General features: G+C 36.5%; 1 protein-coding gene across 6 annotated transcripts in view, besides 1 other annotated feature; it reads left to right on the top strand.

The window, feature by feature from the left end:
- Positions 1 to 22,095, top strand: part of SLC38A11 (solute carrier family 38 member 11) — a 61,172-nt gene that overhangs the window by 28,124 nt on the left and 10,953 nt on the right. For all 6 annotated transcript variants that reach the window (NM_001351540.2, NM_001351539.2, NM_173512.3 and 3 more), the window contains 4 exons: positions 11,429 to 11,499; positions 12,129 to 12,290; positions 15,654 to 15,766; positions 18,631 to 18,762. In NM_001351540.2, coding sequence (NP_001338469.1) covers positions 11,429 to 11,499; positions 12,129 to 12,290; positions 15,654 to 15,766; positions 18,631 to 18,762 — 478 coding nt within the window. The remainder of the gene's footprint in view (positions 1 to 11,428; positions 11,500 to 12,128; positions 12,291 to 15,653; positions 15,767 to 18,630; positions 18,763 to 22,095) is intronic.
- Positions 13,942 to 14,458: an enhancer, noted in NCBI's record as "NANOG hESC enhancer chr2:165769454-165769970 (GRCh37/hg19 assembly coordinates)". NCBI's record gives its function as "activates a minimal SCP1, AML or CMV promoter by ChIP-STARR-seq in primed H9 embryonic stem cells {active_cell/tissue: H9 hESC(primed)}" and the evidence as "EXISTENCE:reporter gene assay evidence [ECO:0000049][PMID:30033119]".

The raw sequence follows: 22,095 nt of genomic DNA, 5'->3' as shown, positions 1-22,095 counted from the left end.
CTCTTTTGAAAAACTGCTGAAATTGGTTCTGTTCTTACTCAGTCTTTCTATGCTACAGTAACAAAATACCACAGACTGGGTAATTTATAAAGAACAGAAATTTGTTTGTCACAGTTCTGGAGGCTGGGAAGTCCAAGATCAAGGCACTAGCATTTGAAAGTGTCTGGAGAGGGCTGCTCTTTCTGCTCCCAAGATGACACCTTGAACTCTGCTTCCTCTGGAGGGGACAAATCCTGCATCTTCACGAGGAGGAAGGGATGGAAGAACAAAAAGACGCTGAACTCACTTCCTCAAGCACTTTTATAAGGGTGCTAATCTCATCTATAAGGGCTCTGCCCTAATGGCCTAATTACCTCCTAAAGGCCCCACCTCTTTTTTTAATTATTATTATTATAATTTAAGTTCTAGGGTACATGTGCACAACGTGCAGGTTTGTTACATATGTATACATGTGCCATGTTGGTGTGCTGCACCCATTAACTCGTCATTTACATTAGGTATATCTCCTAATGCTATCCCTCCCCCCTCCCCCCACCCCACAACAGGCCCTGGTGTGTGGTGTTCACCACCCTGTGTCCAAGTATTCTCATTGTTCAATTCCCACCTATGAGTGAGAACATGCGGTGTTTGATTTTCTGTCCTTGCGATAGTTTTCTCAGAATGATGGTTTCCAGCTTCATCCATGTCCCTACAAAGGACATGAACTCATCCTTTTTTATGGCTGCATAGTATTTCATGGTGTATATGTGCCTCATTTTCTTAATCCAGTCTATCATTGATGGACATTTGGGTTGGTTCCAAGTCTTTGCTATTGTGAATAGTGTTGCAGTAAACATACGTGTGCATGTGTCTTTATAGCAGCATGATTTATAAACCTTTGAGGCCCCACCTCTTAGTATTGTTTCACTGGGGATTAAGTTTCAACCTTAATTTTAGAGGGGATGCAAACATTTAAACCATAGCACCCACTGATCCTGACTTCCCTATCACCACAAGCTATACAGCTTCTGTATTTAGAAAGTAACTAGGGTTTTGGTGATTCTAAGCTGAAAGCTGTGCCAGTGTATAAAAGGAAATGAGCCTAGAGAGTTTGGCAGAGATGAAGATGAAGGAAAGCTTTACATGTGGTGGTGAGAAACTTGGATTTGTTCTTTAGTTGATAGGGCATTGAAAGTTCTTAAACAGGTGAGTAACTAGATCGAGTCTCAATTTTAATTGGACTTCTCTTCCAGTGGAGGCAAGGACAGATGGGAATATAAAGACCTGGAAGGAGGCTATCTATAGCAAACCAAGCATCCAGGCAAAAGGATTCCATTTTCCAGTGGAAATGATATAAGGATAAGACTGGTAATGAAGAGGAGGAGAAGCTCAAGTAATTTTAAGCTGGTAAAATCAGGAGAACTTAGTGACTGATTGAATGAAGGCACTAAGGGTACAGGAGTTACCTAGGGTGATACCAAAGTTTCCAGCTTGGAGAACTATATGGGTAGATGGCCCAGAACTCACTGCCAAAGGAATAAAATAGAAGAGTCTGCCAGCAAACTAACACTTATTAAATGTCTACTGGGTAAGTCACTCTTCTAGGTACTGGGGCTATTAAGACCAATATATCACACTCCTTTTCTGAAGACCTCTTACAGCTTATTAGAATGTGGAGTGGGGCAAAGATCACATAAGAGATAACCTCAGTGGACTATTTAATAGAATTATGAATACGCTGCTAGGGAGACATACAGAGGTCTACCTTCTTTTATGTTATTTACCAGGATAGGAAGGGAAGATGATCTGGAAAAAATATATAGTATATTTTAAATATATCCTCATTTTGTGGGATCCTTGTGGGAAGAGGAGTAGAAGTCACCCAATCTTTTGGAAATGCAAGTCTGGATTTCGGAGAGGGTGATGTGGAAAACTGTACAGGGACTGCATATAAAGTGAAGAGAAGCACAATCCAAGTAGAACCCTAGTGACAAAGAATTATCTGGACATCACATCTGAAGTTACATTTATTTTTAGTTTAAATTCACATGATATTTTAATTCTGTTTTGTGAAAAAGCACAACAAAGAACCAAAGCGACACCCATAATTCTCACAAGTTTTCATCATGTTAAAAAAGTGAAATCCTGCCCCCTCCCACCTATACTCTGCCCTTTTAATCCAAACCCACAGAGGTAAACACAGTTAACACCAATTTTAAAGCATTAACAGAGGAATTAGAGAACGCCCAGTAGGTGACAGAATAAGAATTAAAAGAGACTGGTGTCCCAAATGGCAAAAATGAAGTATTTGTGATGTTTATGGTGCCAAGCTGGGCTAGCTTTTTATATGATTCATATTTTAAAAATTTATATTTCAGGCCGGGCACAGTGGCTGACGCCTGTAATCCCAGCACTTTGGGAGGCTGAGGCGGGCAGATCACGAGGTCAGGAGATCGAGACCACAGTGAAACCCCGTCTCTACTAAAAATACAAAAAATTAGCTGGGCGCGGATACAAAAAATTAGCCGGGCATGGTGGCTGGTGCCTGTATTCCCAGCTACTCGGGAGGCTGAGGCAGGAGAATGGCGTGAACCCAGGAGGCAGAGCTTGCAGTGAGCCGAGATTGCGCCACTGCACTCCAGCCTGGGCGACAGAGCGAGACTCCATCTCAAAATAAATAAATAAATAATAAATAATAAATAAAATTTATATTTCAGCAAAAAATTACCATAAAGTTTTATGTAAATTTTAACTAGAAATCAGCTTTTTAATAAGTTTATTTTTGAAGAGTTTATTTTGGTTTAATGAATATTTGATCCATTGTCTTTTTTAATTAGAAATGATTTGCATCAAGCTTTTCTTACAGGATGTACAGGAACTAATTAGAATATATACTTTTAAAATAATTTCAACTTGTATTTTATATTCAGGGGATACAGGTGCAGGTTTGTTACATGGGTTTATTGGATGACACTGAGGTTTAGAGTACAAGTGATCCAGTCACCTGTACAAATGATCCCGTCATTACTATGGTAGTGAGCAGAGAACCCAATAGGTATTTTTTCAACCTTTGCCCCCTCCTTCTTTCCATTCTTTAGTAGTCTGTATTCCCAGTTCCAGTGTCTGTTGTTCCCATCTTTATATCCACATGTACCCAATGTTTAGCTCCTACTTATATGTGAGAACATATGGCATTTGCTTTTCTGTTCCTGTGTTAATTTGCTTAGGATAATGGCCTCCAAGCTGCATCCATGTAGCTGCAAAGGACATGATTTCATTCTTTTTTATGGCTGCATAGGATTTCATGGTGTATATGTACCATATTTTCTTTATGCAATCCACTGTTGATGGGCACCTAGGTTGATTTTACGTCTTGGCTATTGTGAGTACTGCTGCAGTGAACATACAAGTGCATGTGACTTTTTTGTAGAGTGATTTATTTTCCTCTGGGTGTGTACCCAGTAACGGGACTCCTTGGTTGAATGGTAGTTCTGTTTTAATTTATTTGAAATATCTCCAAACTGCTTTCCACAGTGGCTGCACTAATTCACATTCCCACCAATAGTGTATAAGTGTTCCCTTTTCTCCACAGCCCCACTAACATTTGTTTTTTTTTTTTATTTTTCAAGACAGGGTCTTGCTCTCTCATCCAGGCTGGAGTGCAGTGGTGCAATCATGGCTCACTGCAACTTTGACCTTCTAGGCTCAAGCAATCCTCCTACCTCAGCCTCCTAAGTAACTGGGACTACAGGTGTGCACCACCACGCGTGGCTAATTTTTTTTTTATTTTGTAGAGATGGGGTCCCAGTTACGTTGCCCAGGCTGGAAGCATCTGTTTTTTGTTTGTTGTTTGTTTTTACTTTTTAATTATCGCTATTTCTACTAGTGTGAGATGGTATCTCATTGTGGTTTTGATTTGCATTTCTCTGATAATTAGTAATGTTGAGCATTTCTTCATATGTTCATTGGCTATTTGTTTGTCTTCTTCTTTTGGGAAATGTCTGTTCATATCCTTTGCCCACCTTTTAATGGAGTTATTTGGTTTTTGCTTGTCAAATTAAGTTCCTTACAGATTCTGGATATTGGAACTTTGTCATATACAGAGTTTGTAAATATCTTCTCCCATTCTGTAGGTTGTCTGTTTATTCTGTTGATAGTTTCTTTTGCTGTGCTGAAGCTTTTTAGTTTAATTAGGTCCCACTTGTCAGTCTTTGTTTTTGTTGTGATTGCTTTTGAGGCCTTAGCCATAAATTCCTCGCCAAGGCCAATGTCGGGAAGGGTATTTCCTAGGTTTTCTCTAGGATTTTTATAGTTTGAGGTCTTACATTTAAATCTCTAATCCATCTCAAGTTAGTTTTTGTATATGGAAAAAGGTAGGGGTCTAGTTTCATTCTTCTGCATATGGTTAGCCAGTTATCTCAGCACCACTTATTGGCTAGGGAATCCTCTCCCCATTGCTTATTTTTGTCGACTTTGTCAAAGACCAGATGGTTGTAGGTGTGTGGCTTTATTTCTGGATTCTCTATTCTGTTCCATTGGTCTATGTGTCTGTTTGTGTACTAGTATGATGCTTCTTTGGTTACTGTAGCCTCATAATATAGTTTGAAGTCAGATAATGTGATGCCTCTGGCTTTGTTCTTTTTATTCAGGGTTGTTTTAGCTAATGGGGCTTTTCTCATTCCATACGAATTTCATAATAGTTTTTTTCTAAATTTAAAAAATGATGTTGGATAGGAATAGTGTTGAATCTGTAGATTGCTTTGGGTAGTATAGTTCTTTTAATGATATTGATTCTTCCAATCCGCAAGCGAAGACTGCTTTTCCCATTTGTGTGGGTGTGCGTTTTTAAATGAATCAGTTTTAATGTTCAGAGTGATTCCTAAGAAGGATTCTCCTGAGCAGCTTTATATATTAATGTAAACCAAGGTTTTGTCTATAGAACAGAATCAGAATACAAGTGAGCTGAGAGTGAGGAAGTGACAGAGCCTTCAGTGGATGCAGGAGCTGGGGGAAGAGGTCAGATCTGCTTGTCATTAATAGCTTGTGGTGTGACAGGCAACATGGAGCCTTTGTTTTGTGTCATCCAAAGCACTCAACTCCCGGATGTGTCTGACTAAAAACATGAGGCTCTTACAACAAAAATGCAGACTCTGCCGGAATTGTATATTTGAAAGTGCTTCTGTTTAGCTGAAAGAGTTTGGGCGGGTATCATAGAGAGGCATGATGTTTTTTGATTCTCCTGATCCAGAGGTTTAAGTTCTGAGGCTCCTTTTTATCAGTCTATAGAGACTGGAGCTCCCTTTGATGGGACTTGCTTTCTTCTACATTGCCTTATTGTTATTCACCTGTTATAAAGATAAGAGTTTGTCTTTCAAACCAGGATAAAATTTCAGAATGCAAGAATCCAAACTGAGACAATATTACAAAATGAATTTAACTCCCCAAAGCTCTCCATCTCCAACCACAACCCCCATAAACACAAACGATTTATTAAAAATATATAATGAAGCATTTGTTTAGATTTTCCAGGGTAAGGGAAGTAATTAATTGTAAAAGTGTTTGCTGTTCTAAGGCTACAAACTGCTATAAGCCAGTCCCTATTTTTGGTAGTACTAAAATATTTTGAAACACGAATCATTGCTGTTAAAATGATCTAAATTTTACAGTAACCATTATTTGCCTAGATCTTTTTAAAGCTTCCTAAGGTATTGTAAGGAATACTGCTTCTTTTCAATGTTACTTTTATGTGCATTTATTCAACGTGTTTATTTTTCTCAAAAGAATACATTCACAGGCCAGGTGAGGTGGATCACACTTGTAATCTCAGCACTGTGGGAGGCCAAAGCAGGAGGATCCCTTAGACCAGTGGTTCAAGACCAGCCTAGACAACATAGCAAGACCCCCACCTCTACAAAAAAAAAAAAAATTAAAAATATAGCCAAGTGTGGTGGCATGTACCTATAGTCCAGCTTACTTGGGAGGCAGAGGCTGGAGGACCTCTTGAGGCCAGGAGTTTGAGGCTGCAGTGAGCTATGATCACACCACTGCCTGGGGTTACAGTGAGACCCTGTCTCACAAATAAAATAAAGTAAAATAAAATAAAATTTATTAACTTGATTTTATGAAATCAAAGATTACAAATGGCTTTTAATGAAATAGAGTAGCCTCCTACCAAAACCTTTTTTATTTCAACCCTTTAAGCCTTATCTCTTGGCATTCACATCTCTATTTCTAAGTAATATGAGTCTAAGTGCCTTTTTTGGTGTCTCACTGTTATCTTCTCTTACAGTAGATGAAGATTTAGCTCTCTCAAGCTATCTTTCCTCTTCTTAAATACATGGAGAATACCACAACTTTTAAAATTAAGTTTATGTTTCTCTTCTTGTACACTTTTCCTTTTTTTTTTCTCTACAATTACCACTTGATTTCAGTTTTGTGTTTATCTGGATGTCCAGTTTAGCTTTTGAATTTGATCATTTTTGTTACTTCTTTTCCAGATGCTCAAACATATAATCTATAATTTTATTATTTTTCCTGAACACATCCATCCCAGAGCCTTCAGCTCTGCCCTCCATTCTAGACAGATTGCTTTCTCACTTTGCTCCCCCATGATCATCCTAGGACTTCCTTTTACCTCCTTTTTGTGTTGTATACCCTCTATCCATGATCCCAGATCTTCCGTTTTCTTTCCTTTCTCCTTTTGTTGGAGCATTCTCGGTAGCTTTCTGGTATCTCTGAGTCCTGCACACACAGGGGTTTTGTAAAGTGAATCACCTCTTTCTCATCATGAGCTCCCTCTACATGGTTGCAACATCTTCTACTCTCAATAGTCATCACAGAAGTATCCAGTTTCGTTTTCATAGAGTGTCTTCTCCTCGGATATCTCTTCTCCCACTATCCTCTCCCTCATGAATTTATTCCTCTTTTAAATTTCTTTAGTAGCATTTTAGTGGGGTCTTAGAAAAAAGAAAAGATAAACTTATGTGGCCCATCTACACATGTTTAATTGGGTGTCCAAGTTTAACTTTTGATTATTAATTTGCATGGGGGTTTAAGTTAAAATTCAAACATTTTATTTAAAATATATTTTCTGCCTTAGGAAAGTTATTTCTTTCTTCCTTCCTTTCTTTTTTTTTTTTTTTTTAACGGAGTCTTGCTCTGTCACCCAGGCTGGAGTGGAGTGCAGTGGGGCACAATCTCTGCTCACTGCAACCTCCACCCCCCAGGTTCAAGTGATTCTCCTGCCTCAGTCTCTTGAGTAGCTGGGATTACAGGCCCACGCCACCACACCCGGCTAATTTTTGTATTTTTAGTACAGACGGGGTTTCACCATGTTGGTCAGGCTGATCTCGAACTCCTGACCTTGTGACCCACCTCCCTCAGTCTCTCAAAGTGCTGGGATTACGGACGTGAGCACCACGCCTGGTCTATGGAAGTTATTTCATTTGGGCAGGGGGCGTACACTAGGCTGTAAATAGAATACCTTGCAAGGTTATATCTTGGAACATACACCCTATAGATAAGGGGGGAGTACTGTGTATATACTGTATACTATTTCTTGATCATGGCCCTCTGTATTCACAGCTTCTGCATGTGCAGACACAACCAACTGTGGACAGAAATATTGGAAAAAAATTAAAAATAACAATATGACAATAATGATACAAATTTTAAAATACAGTATGACTACTATTTATATAGAATTTACATTGTATTAGATATTGTAAGCAATCTAGAGATAATTTAAATTATATAAAAGTATGTGCTTAAGTTATATGCAAGTATTAAACCATTTTATATCAGGGACTTGAGCATCCATGGCTTTTGATATCCAATGGAGGGTCCTGGAACCAATCCCTCCCACATACCAAGGGACAACTGTGTATGCATGACCAATGTCATCTTCCAGCTTTTAGCTTACCTTTGTATTTTTAAATGTGTATATAAATAATTTTATCATATGGATGTTTTATATTTACCTTCCATTGATTTTATTGTTTATCTTTATTATAACTTTAATATTATGGGGTTTTTTTGAGTTTTAAATTTCTTTTCCTCCTTCAATATTTTATTTATTTTATTTTATTCATTTTGAGGCAGGGTCGTACTCTATTGACCAAGCTAGAGTGCAATGGGGTGATCATGGCTCACTGCAGCCTCAACCTTCCAAGCTCAAGTGATTCTCCCATCACAGCTTCTCGAGTAGTTGGGTGTATAGGCACACACCATCATGCCTGGCTAATGTTTTTATTTTTTGTAGAGCCTGGATCTCCCTGTGTTGCCCAGGCCAGTCTTGAACTCAAAGCAATCCTTCTGCCTCGGCCTCCCAAAGTGCAGGGATTTCAGGCGTGAACCATCATGCCCAGCCTCAATATTGTATTTTATTCTTTGATTTCTTTTTTTCTGTATTTTATTATTTGAATTTAAAAATTAATTTGGGGTAAATTGATGTTTATATGATATTGAGTCTTCCCATTTGTGTGTATGGATATGGTATATTTCTCCATTTATTTGTGTCTTTCAATAAAAGTTTAACATGACGTTAAAATCATGCACATCTTTTAAAGTATTTAGTGTTTTTGTTGTCACTGCCACTTAAAAAAACATTTTAATTGGTCATTGTTTGTGTACATCAGCCCACTTGATGTTTTCTGTGTATTGAACTTGTATCCAGTAACCTTGCTGAATACTCTTATTTTCCATATGCATAAATTTTCCATATGTGTAATTATGTTGTGTACAAATAATTTACACAATCTTTTCAATGATTACACATCACTTATTTTATTGAATCAGCTAGGAATATCAATAATATATTCAGGATGCAGTGATATTGAACATCCTATCTGGTTTCATCCCTTAAGTAGAGTATTTCTAACTTTTCACTTTTAAATATGCCATTTGCTATAGGATTTGGTGGACATTCCTTATCCAGTAAAGGAAGTTCTATTTTATTATTAGTTTGCTCACCATGTTTTTCAAAATAAATACTGAGTTGTATGCTTTTCTATATATTTTGAAATGGTCATAAGCTTCTTTCCTTCATTAATCTGTTAATGTGGTAAATTACACCAATATCTATTAATATAACAGCTATTAATAAATATTGATTATATTAATATTTTGTTATTAAACTCCCCTTGCATTTATTGAAAAAATATTCGTAGTCATAATTCCTTATCTTATAAATTGCTTGATGGCATTTGATTTCATATTTCAGCATTTACAGTTTAAAGTCAAAAGGTCTATAACTTTATGTTTCCATCCAGGTTGAGTATCAAAGTTTCAGCAATCTCATAAAATATACCCGAGAACTTTCTTCTCTCTCTTTTTTTTTTTTCCTGTACAACTGATTGTATCTGGAACTCAATCCTAGGCTATTTTATAAATGATTGGAAAGCCATATTCAATATCTGTTTCCTTCTCTTTCCCTAGATTTAGACATATGCATTTTCCTATCTGTAACATCTTTTTTGGCACTTTCCATCTTATAAAATCATCATCATTATGATGAACAGAGAAAATCCAAAATTATCTCTAGGTATTGTTTCACACTCCGGGAATATACCCAAGGAACCATATGGACCCAGGGAAAAAATTTAAATGGAAGAGAAAAAATGAAAATGAAACTTCTACATTTTATTACTAATATAAGATTTAAAAAGTAGGACACCACCACAATCTGTACTAGGGTTGGGGAGTAAGGGTGAATATTTTCCAAGTGCAAAAACCATAAGAGGGAAAGCATACCATTTAAAGCATATTGCAAAGTTAGAGAATCCTCAAGTTTCTACAACTGTTAGTGCTGCCTGACTGAAATCATTTTCTAAGGATCATGTACAAAATATGTATTTTTTCCACATTAACATTGGAATTTAACAGGTATGCTGCTTTTAATGTCGACTGCTTTTAGAGTAGTGGAGGCAGCAGGTGGCAGTAGTTCCCACTCCCAAAACTGGGAATTGGAGCAAGTCTTATAACAATCTGTGGCCTCTCTTGCAGGCCTGCCTTTCTGTGAAGTTTCTTTGTGTCTGTAACTGCTCGTTTCATATATGGGAAAAAGGATGATATAATGCATAAATCCCACAAAGTGTGGACAACAAACAAGATTTTTTTGTATGTACCTTCTTTACATAGAGGATGAATAAACAAACTTATGAAATAGATGGGTCTTCATCTTTAGAATTTCTGTTTTTTATTGAAAATACCCAGCGCCTTTTCATGCTTCCTAGGAATATCCCTGTTCCATTCTTCATGCATTGTTTTGAGTCTTACTCAAGCCTTCCCTTCCCAGGGAAGTTGGCCATACTTTTAGACTTTTTGCTGCCTTTATTAATAATGCTGGATAATAACATTAATACTAATAACTGTTTATTGAACATGTGCTATGTGATAAACTCTCTTCCAGAAGTTTTACATATTTTATCTCATTTAATCTACACAGTCACTTAATGAGTTAGATACTACAATTATCCCCAGTTTATAAATGTTGAAATTGAAGCACAGAGAGGTCCTGTAACTTGCCTAAAATCACACAGCTAATAAGTGGAAGGAGGCCAGAAGAACAATTTAAGCTAACTGACCTTAGAGCCTCTGCTGTTCATCATTATTCATGATGTGTTAGCCAGGTAGACCTATCACTGCCAATATCAAATATTTTAATTCCACTAGGATGTAGCCTGTTTCAAGCTGTTTAAAGTGCATATATTTCCAAAATTCCCTTGAGAAATACATCTACAGTTGGGAATTTGAGGCCACTGTCAGATGGTTCTGCCTGGAAAAAACATGGGAGTGAATAAACCAGGAAGATAAATCTCAACTTCTTCACTAATTATTTGTGGAAGCTTGGCAAGTTATATCACCATCCAGAGCTTGATTTTCTTCATGTGTTAAATGGTGATAATAATACTTAAGTGTTATTTTGAAAATTAAATGAGATAACACAGTAGAGTTTCTAGAAGATAGTACATCCTCAATTAGTATTAGTTCATGTTTACCTCTCTCAATAAATTTTAGTGCTGACTAAATTTTTCTTGGGTAGGTTAAGCCTGAAAAAAATAAGAGCGGAATGAACAGCAGTAACTGGGCATTGTTAATTTTTGTATCTCCCTCAAAAGGTAGCTGAACTGGTAGGTGCATAATCAATGCTGTCTGTTAAATTGATGAGCAAATAAACAAATTCACAAAATTACATAGTCTGGATATTTTACATATGTAAAAATAGAATTTGTCCAAGTATTTGACATACATTTTAGAGGACTGGGGTTAAGAGATAACACTCATGCTCCTGGGAAATTTATTCATGATTACACAAGATTAATGGGAGCCCCTTATTAATTTCTGGCTTAAAGACACTCAGTTTATATTTGTGATACCATTTCTTGTTATCTGATATACTGATGCTTGTATTTATTTAACAATTTATCAAGTTAACTGATTTTTCTTCTAGACCAAAAACAGAAGACGCTTGGGTATTTGCAAAGCCCAATGCCATTCAAGCGGTCGGGGTTATGTCTTTTGGTGAGTATTTGGTTTCAAAGGCCCTTTCTCAATGTGGAGTTCTCTGTTCCATGAAAAAGTGCTGTGTTTCATATTTATGTCTGGATAGCAGATGTCCTAAGTTTTAGACTTCCTATTAGCAGCATATGATCTAGTTTGTGCCAATATAAAATTAGGCTCAAACTTTTCTCACTCATCACTAAAATTTGCTTCAATTTGGAGAAATCTATTTCTCATGCAGAAACTCATTACAGTCATCTTGTTTCTTAACTTGGAAGGCTAGCAAGTGTTATGGACTTCTTCAAACCCTTTATTATGTCCCAAATGGCAAAGGAAGCCACAGGATGAAAACGATGGGAAAAAGATTTCCTTCAGATGGGAAGGGTCATTAGGAAAAGGAAAATGAGAGAGAATGTTGGACTGGCCTGGTTTATATCAAGAGTAACATGAAAAGACCACATAAGCCTGATGTGAATGAATGGTCTCATTTCTAGAACTATTAGAAAAATTATTTTCTGACATATTAATAAAGTTGTATGTTTAAACTTCAGTTCATTGGCATCTAAAGTAGTATATATCTCTGAATTTCAGAACTAAAAAAGAAAACCCTGGTGCTTGATTTAATAATGCTCTTTTTTTTTGTATTGCAGCATTTATTTGCCACCATAACTCCTTCTTAGTTTACAGTTCTCTAGAAGAACCCACAGTAGCTAAGTGGTCCCGCCTTATCCATATGTCCATCGTGATTTCTGTATTTATCTGTATATTCTTTGCTACATGTGGATACTTGACATTTACTGGCTTCACCCAAGGTAAAATGAGAGATTCAGTTATAGTGTTCATGTGCATTGGTACAGGTATACCGAATGTTCTACTCATTATTGTTACAGGTATGCCCAGTGTTCTATTTCAAAGATTACTCTCTTCCACCCATTCTCTCTACCCTCCTGCCCCCCTGCTGTCTGTTTCCTAGTTTTTACCTTTTTAAACTGCTCAATTTAGTTCTGTAGCCCATACTCTCTCCTTCCACACACTGTCACTTCCTAGCACATGATTTTTGGCTTTCCTCCACTGCAGCTTCATTTTCAAAGGTACCAGTGGCCTCCCAATCTTCAGAGCAAATAGCTTCGATTTGGATTCTCCCGAATCTCTCTGAATCACTTAACAATACTGAACTTCCTTTCTTTGCTCAAATTTTCCTCCCTTAGAGGAAAGAGTATTATTATATTATCATTGTTATTCTTTCTCTCTGTTAATTTTTTTTCTGTTTTCTTTTTCTTTACCCTCTCTAATCCCCCACTCCACTCCATCCCACACCACCCAGATAACGGGCTCAAGCATATTGTTTTCTCTTCTCTCAAAAAAATTTCCCGGTACTTTCATTGTTTTAATTCTAACCCAGACCTTTCTTTTTGTCTCCAACCTGCTGCCTGTAGGACGTTTCTACTCAGTTGTTCTATATTTGTCTTAATCACAAAACATCATGTTTCCCTTAAAACCAGACCTTTTCTTCCTCCCTCCAAAGATATTTCTCTCTTTTTTTGCATTCACCCAGGCCCAGCAACTGAGCAGTCCTCTCTTCTACTTCCCTTGACCCTTACATTCAATCATCAGTGTAGTGTAGTAGTCAGGGCAGTCCAGCAGTAGGCTGTGATTTACATATTTCACAGCTCTTGCAGGTCTATTATCTCATTGACCTTCAGACAACCCTTTGAAGGGAAGTGGAATAACTAGTTTTACCCCCTGATTAAAACACAAAGAGGTGAAGTAACTTGCTCATGCTGGCTGATGACAAACCAGAAAACAAGTCTTCTGACTCTTAAGTTCAGTTTTCTTTCCATCCTCTTTCTGCCTGCCCTGTTTTGGTCAACCATGACCCTCTGAAAGTTGTCCCTTTGCCTCTAGCTCCCATTAGCTTAGTTTTCTGAAAACCTGGGTGCTCTTGGGAGGATGGCTGCCTTATTCTGAACAGAGGTTACAGATCACTATGACTTTAGGCAAATATTTCTCAAGAAATGAAGAAAGATGGCTTCAAAAAATAATGATTAACAAAATTCAAATGCAGTCAAAAATATAATACATGCCTGTGCCACTAGAGTGCAGTAACAAAGTGACCTTGAAACTTCTGATAAGAATTGTGTTCCAAAGCATTTCTATGTATCACTATTGCTACATAGTTTGCCAATGCAAATGGCCTATGGGCTCTGGTCTGTACAGGACCTTGGTTTTTAAATGCCTTTTCTGTAAGACATAACCTTTTTTGTTAGTTACATCTTCCTGGAGTTTTTATCAGTGGTAATTGCTCAGATATAATTAAATCTTTATAAAACAAAGCTGACAGGTTTTTAATGCCGTTTTCCCCCTAGCTGTAATTCTTTAAAATACAACTTAGATTCAGGCTGCAATAAGCTGACATTGTTTCTCCAGGCCACCTCTCCTTAGGTAAATCTAGTCTAATTTGTGCATACTGCATTCTTCTTTTCTAACCTCTTTCAGTAGATAAATTTCAGCTTGAGAGGCGGTGGGAACTCTAGATTCTCCTCGACATTTCTAGTGACTTTCGAAAAGACAATAGGGCTCATTTTTTTAGTGGAGGTTAGTGAACGGGGAACTTCAGTCCTTTTTTCTTAGAGTGCTGGAATCTTTTCAGTCAACCTTGAAGCAGGTTTCTGCCACCTTACTTTGTGTTTTAATCCCCTCCTGCCCAAAAGGGATGTTCTAAAGTAATGTAGATTTGTTCTAGTTGATGGGGGGAGGGGTGAGAGCCACTTAAAGTAAATCTTGGGAAGAGGCAAATTATTTAGGATATTCAGCTTTGTAATGAAAAAAACAGTACAGAGGTATTATAGCTTTTCTTCTTTTTAAATGGTGTAGTATTGAGTATTGATCTTAAAAAAATTTAATTTTCAATTAAGTTTAATTTTAAAAAGGTTACCACAATTTTAACATTTAAGCACGTTATATACAGAAAATCAGCAAGCCCAAGTACTCTGTTTCGGCATTAGTCATTGTTATATTTTTATTTTTTTTATTTCTTCCATGGACTACTGTACAGTTGTAGGTAATTGTTTTTTGATGACATGACATCTGTGCCCTAGTTAGATCCCTGTATTTCTTCATAGACAGTTGAGAAATATAGTCTCTAAATAAGAATTGTTTCAAGGTATATTTAGTCCATCATCTAGTCTGGAACTTATTAAATTTAATGTTCTTTCTGGGACATAGCCATATTTTCACAGTTTTGAATCAGTGCATTTACACTTGGGCTCATGAGGTGCCATGAAAGGTAACATATGTTTGGAATTTCTCGCTGTGGCCCCAAGGTTGGGATGAAACCCTATAGCATGATACACAGGAAATTCAGCTCCCCAGATGTACTGGTTTACTCTTCCTTTCAGGATTGTTCTTGATCTAAGAATAGCATTTCAAAAGGAAATTTGTTTATTTTTAACAGACATTTTTAAAAAATAATGAAGTCACTTACTCACCAGAAACAAAGACCAGAAACCAGTTTACAAAGCCAGTGCTGAAGAATTTAGGGAGTTGATTCTGATGTAAGAAGACAATGGATAAAGTATTTTTCAGAAGTCAGTACAAATTGGCAGCAAATCTACCAAAAACAAATAATAAGAGAAAAACTATCAGTGATGGATTTATCTTCACATGTAGCATGTACTGGTTTAAATCAGTGAATAACTACATAGTTATTGAATTCAAAAACTTTTATTTAGACCTGGTCATCTATTCTCTTAATTAAATGAAATGAAGTTTATGGAGATTCACTTATAAGTCATGTGTTGCTTAATGACAGGGAAACATTCTGAGAAATGCATTGTTAGGTGATTTCCTCATTGTGCAAACATCACAGAGTATACGTACACAAATCTAGATGGTAGCACCTATTACACACCTAGGCTATATGCTATAGCTTATTGCTCCTAGGCTATAAACCTCTACAGCATGTTTCTGTACTGAATTCTGTAGGCAACTGTAGCAGAATGGAAAGTATTTATGTATCTAAACATAGAAAAATATATAGTAAAAATACAGCATTGTAATCATATATGTGGGCCATTAGGTGATGCATAACTGTAATATCTAATATTTAATTTATTAGATAGTTATCTCAAACATTTAGTATCTAGTAAATAAACTTATTTTATATTACTATCTAGGGGACTTATTTGAAAATTACTGCAGAAATGATGACCTGGTAACATTTGGAAGATTTTGTTATGGTGTCACTGTCATTTTGACATACCCTATGGAATGCTTTGTGACAAGAGAGGTAAGCGCGGTTCCTTCCCAACGCTTTACCCAGGTGATCTCTCTGCCACATTTAATTTAGGAAGATTTATAAATAATACAGTTTGGCAAATTCCCAAGGGCATGACAAATGGTATAATTTGTAAAATTTTCTTTTTTGACTCTAAAATGTCAGAGTTTAAAGATGAATTTATATTCAGATGTTTACAAGACAATTTTTCAAAAGTTCGGTTTGAAAATTAGGTTTGGTAGATTTGGCTTATATTTCTGTGAGCACAAATATTTATACAACTGCATTCCAAAGTGACTGCCAGCCTTTTGCGACAGCCAAACTAAAGTTGTTGCTTTTAAGGCATTCTTACAAAGAAATTAAGTATCAAGGTTTAAAACATGTTTTACAAAACTGTCTTTTTGCTTAGATGTTTTATCAGTCAACATGTATTAAAGGCACTGTAGAATCTACAGATTCTAACTGGTTTTGTTATTTTTTAAAAACTAAAATATCTTATATTCCATGGAGAACCAAAATTCAACTGAAACTTTTAGTTTTACAGATACATTTTATTTATGTATTTATACATGTAGACGTGTATATTTACAACTATACATAACATAAACTAATAATATAAATAATAACAAATATATAGGATATTATTTACATATAAATATATTGTATTGTCAAAGTCAGCTCTAAATTGGGTTATATATTCCACTTGTATTTGTAGAGAAATATTATCTGAAAGAGAATTCATTCTTTTGGTGTAAAATTGGATAACATGGCCTGTCAGGAATCCCTTATGCTGTCAGCTAAAAATCCACTGTACCAGTCGGCAGTAAAACATGATCTTGCTTCACAGTGGGTCTTTCAGGGACCACACTGAAAAGGGCTCAGTCATAGGATCTGTTCCTAGAGGCTGTTTATACAGTGCACCATGTGAAAGGGTCTAATGAGATAAGTGAAATATCTACAGAGCTTTAAATACACTAAATAATCAGCAGGCTTCTTGAGGCAAGCCAGGGCTTACTTTAAGTCAGTCCCAGGGATAAGGAACTGACTGCACGGGGAAACAGAAGAGGGAAATGTTTAGCACTGTGTATGTCCTTTACAACTAGCACTTCTCTCCCTCACACATGTATAACTCACAGGCCAGTTCTCTACCTTGACTATAAAGGAGAAATAGACTGAACTAATTTTTTTTTAAATTTAAGAGCCTTTCGAAACTTTACTAGCTATTGTCAGATGCAGGACATGGTATTATTTTAGCTTCTGCTCAGTACGTAGGTTCAAATCTAATCTCTAGATCAGCAAGTAAGAACAGATGGTGCATTCTCACGTGGTTGCTAGTAAACTGCCTGCCTGCAGACGATCTGAGTCACTTCACCTGCACAACTTCTGTGTTTAGTACTTGAAACTTGAGTTTCCTTTCTAGCTGCTGTGGCAGGAAGATAGAACTGAATCAAGATCTCTGCCACAATAGCAAATACTCAGCAGAAGAATGGTGTCTATAACTTTCCCTTCTCTTACTCTTCATTCTGCACACACACACAGGTACACACACAAATGTATGACTGACAAAAATATAATCAAACTGTTTCAATTCATAAAAGCACTAAAAAGGCTGTCTACCCTTAACAAATATCTCTTACTACCTGCCTCACTAAGTGATTTTTCACTCTCACAATTATATCATAGAGGCATCTGTAAGAATGGATCTTAAATAAGATAATACTTGGAGAGACATTACAACTTATGTTATTAATATCACCATTAAATTATTAGCAAAGTCATGGCAGTATGTGACACATGGGAGATGTTGCATATCCAGGCAGCACAGCTTAGAGAGATGGCTTCTTTATGATACCTCAATATCTGACCTTCTGTTATTTCCAACTCTTTGTCTCACTGTTCTTTTGCACAGGGTCACTACTTATTCAGACTATCTTCTCTTTATCCTCCATAGGTATTGTTCCTGTTATTACCTCTTTGCTCTTTTTCACGCTCTTGTCTCAGCCTATAATTCTGCTCCAAATCCTGTGCATGTTTCAAGCCCTACCTCAAACCAAGGTAGGTCAAGCATATTTCAGGGATGCTGTAAAGGAGATTACTGTAAGGAGACGGCTCTAGATACCTAAAGCTCCTTCTAGTCCTAAATTCTCCTTGATCTTTTTTGTCCTGTTATAAATTGATCTCTACTTGCTTTTTTAAGTTTCGTTGTATGCCTCCAAAAATTAATTCCTGAGAATAGGAATCATTTCCCTGACATTTTATCTTTGCAAACCATATCATAATATGGGACACATTAAGTCAGTAATTTTTTATTGCTTTCCTGATCTGAGTAGTCATGAAAAATGGTGATGAACTCTTGCCCATTTTTGTTGAGGAAAGGCAAGATAAAATAGACTTAAATTATAACAAATAGGAATTAGTTAATGCAGAATTAATTTCCTGTTAGTAAAGGATATTACACATCCAGTATTAATAAGGGAAATGTGACAGCTACTTCTTAGAGGCCATGCAAATAATCTAAATAGCATGTTTAGTTTGTTTTAGTAGTAACCTATTGGACTCAAGAAAGAAGGATAAGATAACTTTCCAAAGTCTCTCCTGTACTTGAAAGATACATGTATTGAAACATCGGTATGCCACACTATAGGTCTGTAATATAATCCACTGACTAATAGTTCAACAAAGAATACTTGTTATTGATATGTGTGTCTGTATGTAAGTAATTTGGAAAATATAGAACATTCCTAGTGACTTAAGATTTGATTAATAGCCTTGTTGGTAGTATTTTATATATTCCTAAATACTATTGTAAAATACTCCCTCAATAAATCCTGCATGCCTTTAAAAGTCCCTCTCAAAATAATCTGTTTATTCGGCAGGTAATTGCCAATGTGTTTTTTGGTGGGAATCTTTCATCGGTTTTCCACATTGTTGTAACAGTGATGGTCATCACTGTAGCCACGCTTGTGTCATTGCTGATTGATTGCCTCGGGATAGTTCTAGAACTCAATGTGAGTACGTGCAAAGATTTACCCCTTCACTCTAAAATTCTCTTTAAAAGATAATGATTACATTTAACATAAGATGTATTTTCCTTAACAAAAGTGTCACTTTTGAAGTGGAATCAAAATATGTTTGTAATAGTAAATATTTTCAATGATGATTCTGTGCACTTTGTGGGACTATATAGTTTTAAAGTAGTGGTTGTTTAGAGACATATGGGGTCGTCACAACTGGGTAGGCAGTGCTGTTGGCCTCTAGTGGATAGAGGCCAGGGATATACATCCCACAATGTGCAGGTCTCTCACAGCAAAAAATTATCTGATCCAAAATGTCAATTGTGCTGAGGTTGAGAAACCCTGGTTTAGAGTACTTTTGCATATCTCATTTACTATAACACATAAATGTTACTAAAAATAGCTATAAATTAAGTGGATTTGGACTTTGCTGAATAATAATATATCTAGTGAAATTTATGAGAAATATGAAAGGATTCAAGTTATATCCATTCACTTGCTATGACAAAATTTCTTTTTCTTTAAATATTTTTCTTTCTCCAGATCTTTCTTTTATAGTCTGCACTGCCATCAACCAAATAGAAGTCCTCATAATATCACAGTTGAATTAATCCCAGCTCTGTTTCAACTATCATGTATTTAAGTTCTGCTTTCAGTTTATCGGCATTTTCCTACCAGAGCAAGTATAAATTCCGTTGCTTCTACCATCTTGTCTTCTGTGTAAAACTATTTCCCATTTACTTCCCAAAATTTATGTTCAGCTCTAGTCAATCTAATTTTTTGGCCTGTGAATAAGCCATATCAATTCTTTCCATTATTCTTTGTCCTATCTGCTTTTTATTTCCGATAATGATTATTTTTCTTTCATTTCTGTCCAAATTTTACAAAAACTTTAAGATCCAGTGCAACTTCTAATTCCTTTATTCACATTCACTGATCATATATTTATTGAGTAATTACTATGTGCCACACAATAGAATATAAGGATGAATGCAATAAGAAAGGACCTGTGCATTCTCACAAATAAACATAAAAGTTCAACTGCAATATAGGTGATGAAGACAGAGGAGGCCAGGAACGGTGGCTCACACTGTAATCTCAGCATTTTTGGAGGCCAAAGTGGATGGATTGCTTGAGCCCAGGAGTTGGAGACCAGCCTGGGCAACACAGTGAAACCCCGTCTCTACAAAAAATTAGCCGGGTTTGGTGGCATGTGCCTGTAGTCCCAGCTACTTGAGAGGCTGAGGTGAGAGGATTGCTTGAGCCCAGGAGGTAGAGGTTTCAGTGAGCTGAGATGGCACCACTGCACTCCAGCCTGGGCAACAGAGTGAGACCCGGTCTCAAAAAAAAAAAAAAAAAAAAAGAGAAAAGAAGACAGAGGGAAATGGATGGATTCCCAAAACACATTTTTCAGAAAAGATTGGCATAATTTGGTGACACAGATTCCATTGGGAAGACAGGGGGCAGAATGACTTCTTGGTTGTATTTTGTGGAACTAGAATAATGATGTCATTTGCTAAGACAGGAATGGAAGTTGTTCTACCACTACAAAGTGGCTAATCTTCTACAATCCTTACAGAATTTCTCATCAGAATCACCCACCAGTTAGCACTTATTGGTCATGCACCACAGGGAGGGCAAACCCATACAGATGGGATCCCAAGTCATCATTTACTCGTTTCATTGAGAATTGAGGCATAGGTGAAGGTATTATTGTCAGTGCCCAAGTTACTATGTCATCCAGAGGCCATTTTGATTTGAAATTCCATACAAAGGCAGGAGGGAATTCAGTCAGGGACCCTACTGGGGACTTTCTTGTAAATGGAAAGTGGGGAGTAAGCAGTTTCCAAAACCTCAGGAGACTGGTAATTGTCTATTCTACCAACAGTGGAAGGAAAGCTCATAGGAAAGTAAGCAAGTGTCAAAGGTAACTTTTACCTTCTTCCCAGTTTTGCATAGGCCAAACACTAGTAGGGCCACTAAAAATCATTTCGCATACCAATCTTGATTTGTGTAGATGGATCACTACTACATTAATGCGCTGACTTAATTTATGTATTATCTCGTGTCATGTATTGTTGAAGCTGTCCATAAGCTTGCCTTACCTAACAATTGGTAAGCTCTTTGAAGACAAAAATACTTAACCACCTCCTCCCTCCTCCATAGTATTTGGCACAGGGCTAAGGACACAGTGCTGAAATTATTGCATGGGTGATTGCACCTTGGGACTACAGTTCAGGATCTATTTCTATAAATATTCTTAGACACAAGATGCTTTCTTTAATGTAGTACCAGGAAATGAAATGTTATAAAAAATGGTTGCTGTTGACAGTAGTAGTAATCTTTCACCTATGCTGTGGAGATAATCAACATAATGATTTCCAAGCCCTGTTTTTTCCTGTTTTATGAAATATCTTGTTTGAGTCCACAAATTTGTTTGTTGATATTTTAGGATTTTGTTGTAAGACAAAATATATTTATTATCTGCCTGAACATTCACTACATAGTGATAGCCCAACAAATTTTTTTTTGTTTTCAAGTTAATCAAGTGCACACATATTGCTCATTTTTCAGGAATGAGTTTTTTTTGTAAATCTAGCCATTACTTTCTGTAAAGTTAATTGCTAATCTCCATGGCATTTGCACAACAAAATTGTAGGCATATAATCATATTAAATATTCTCTATTATACTTATATTGAAAACTGTTTTGGTTAATACAGAATTCTGGTATTAAAGAATAATCATAGAAGAATACATTGTGAATATCTATTTTAAAGTCAAGATCTGAGCTGGCCCTGGAGGACTATTTTTAAAATTTAAAATATGATTCAAGATCTTTAGATTTTTTTAAAACCTGATTATATAGACATACATTAAAAATTAGAGTGCTAAATTGTCTGTTATGACCTAATAGCCCAAGACAATTATGCTAGTTTTAAAGCACTTTGTAAGAATTAATAAAATCTAGGATCTCCATTCTCAGACCACCTGAGAATAAGTGTTTTTCACATCAGTACGTCTTTTGGTGTGCGTAAGAACGTATTCAAATCTTTACTCAACTCCTTTTTGTGTGGACACTTACCATGTCTAATAGAGCCAAATCAAGCATCATGTCTGTTAGTAACTAATACACGCTGGATCATGCAACACTTTGGAAGTAACTTAAAGCATGCTGTGTTCTACTTCATAATAATAATGTGGGCAGGGCGCAGTGGCTGATGCCTGTAATCCCAGCACTTTGAGAAGCCAAAGCAGGCGGATCACCTGAGGTCAGGAGTTCAAGACCTGCTTGGCCAACATGGTGAAATCCTGTCTCTACTAAAAA

The sequence above is a fragment of the Homo sapiens genome, chromosome 2, assembly GCF_000001405.40.
Source record: "Homo sapiens chromosome 2, GRCh38.p14 Primary Assembly".
Taxonomy (NCBI): domain Eukaryota; kingdom Metazoa; phylum Chordata; class Mammalia; order Primates; family Hominidae; genus Homo; species Homo sapiens.
Note: the sequence above shows the minus strand (reverse complement) of the source record. Positions and strands in the feature narration are given on the sequence as shown.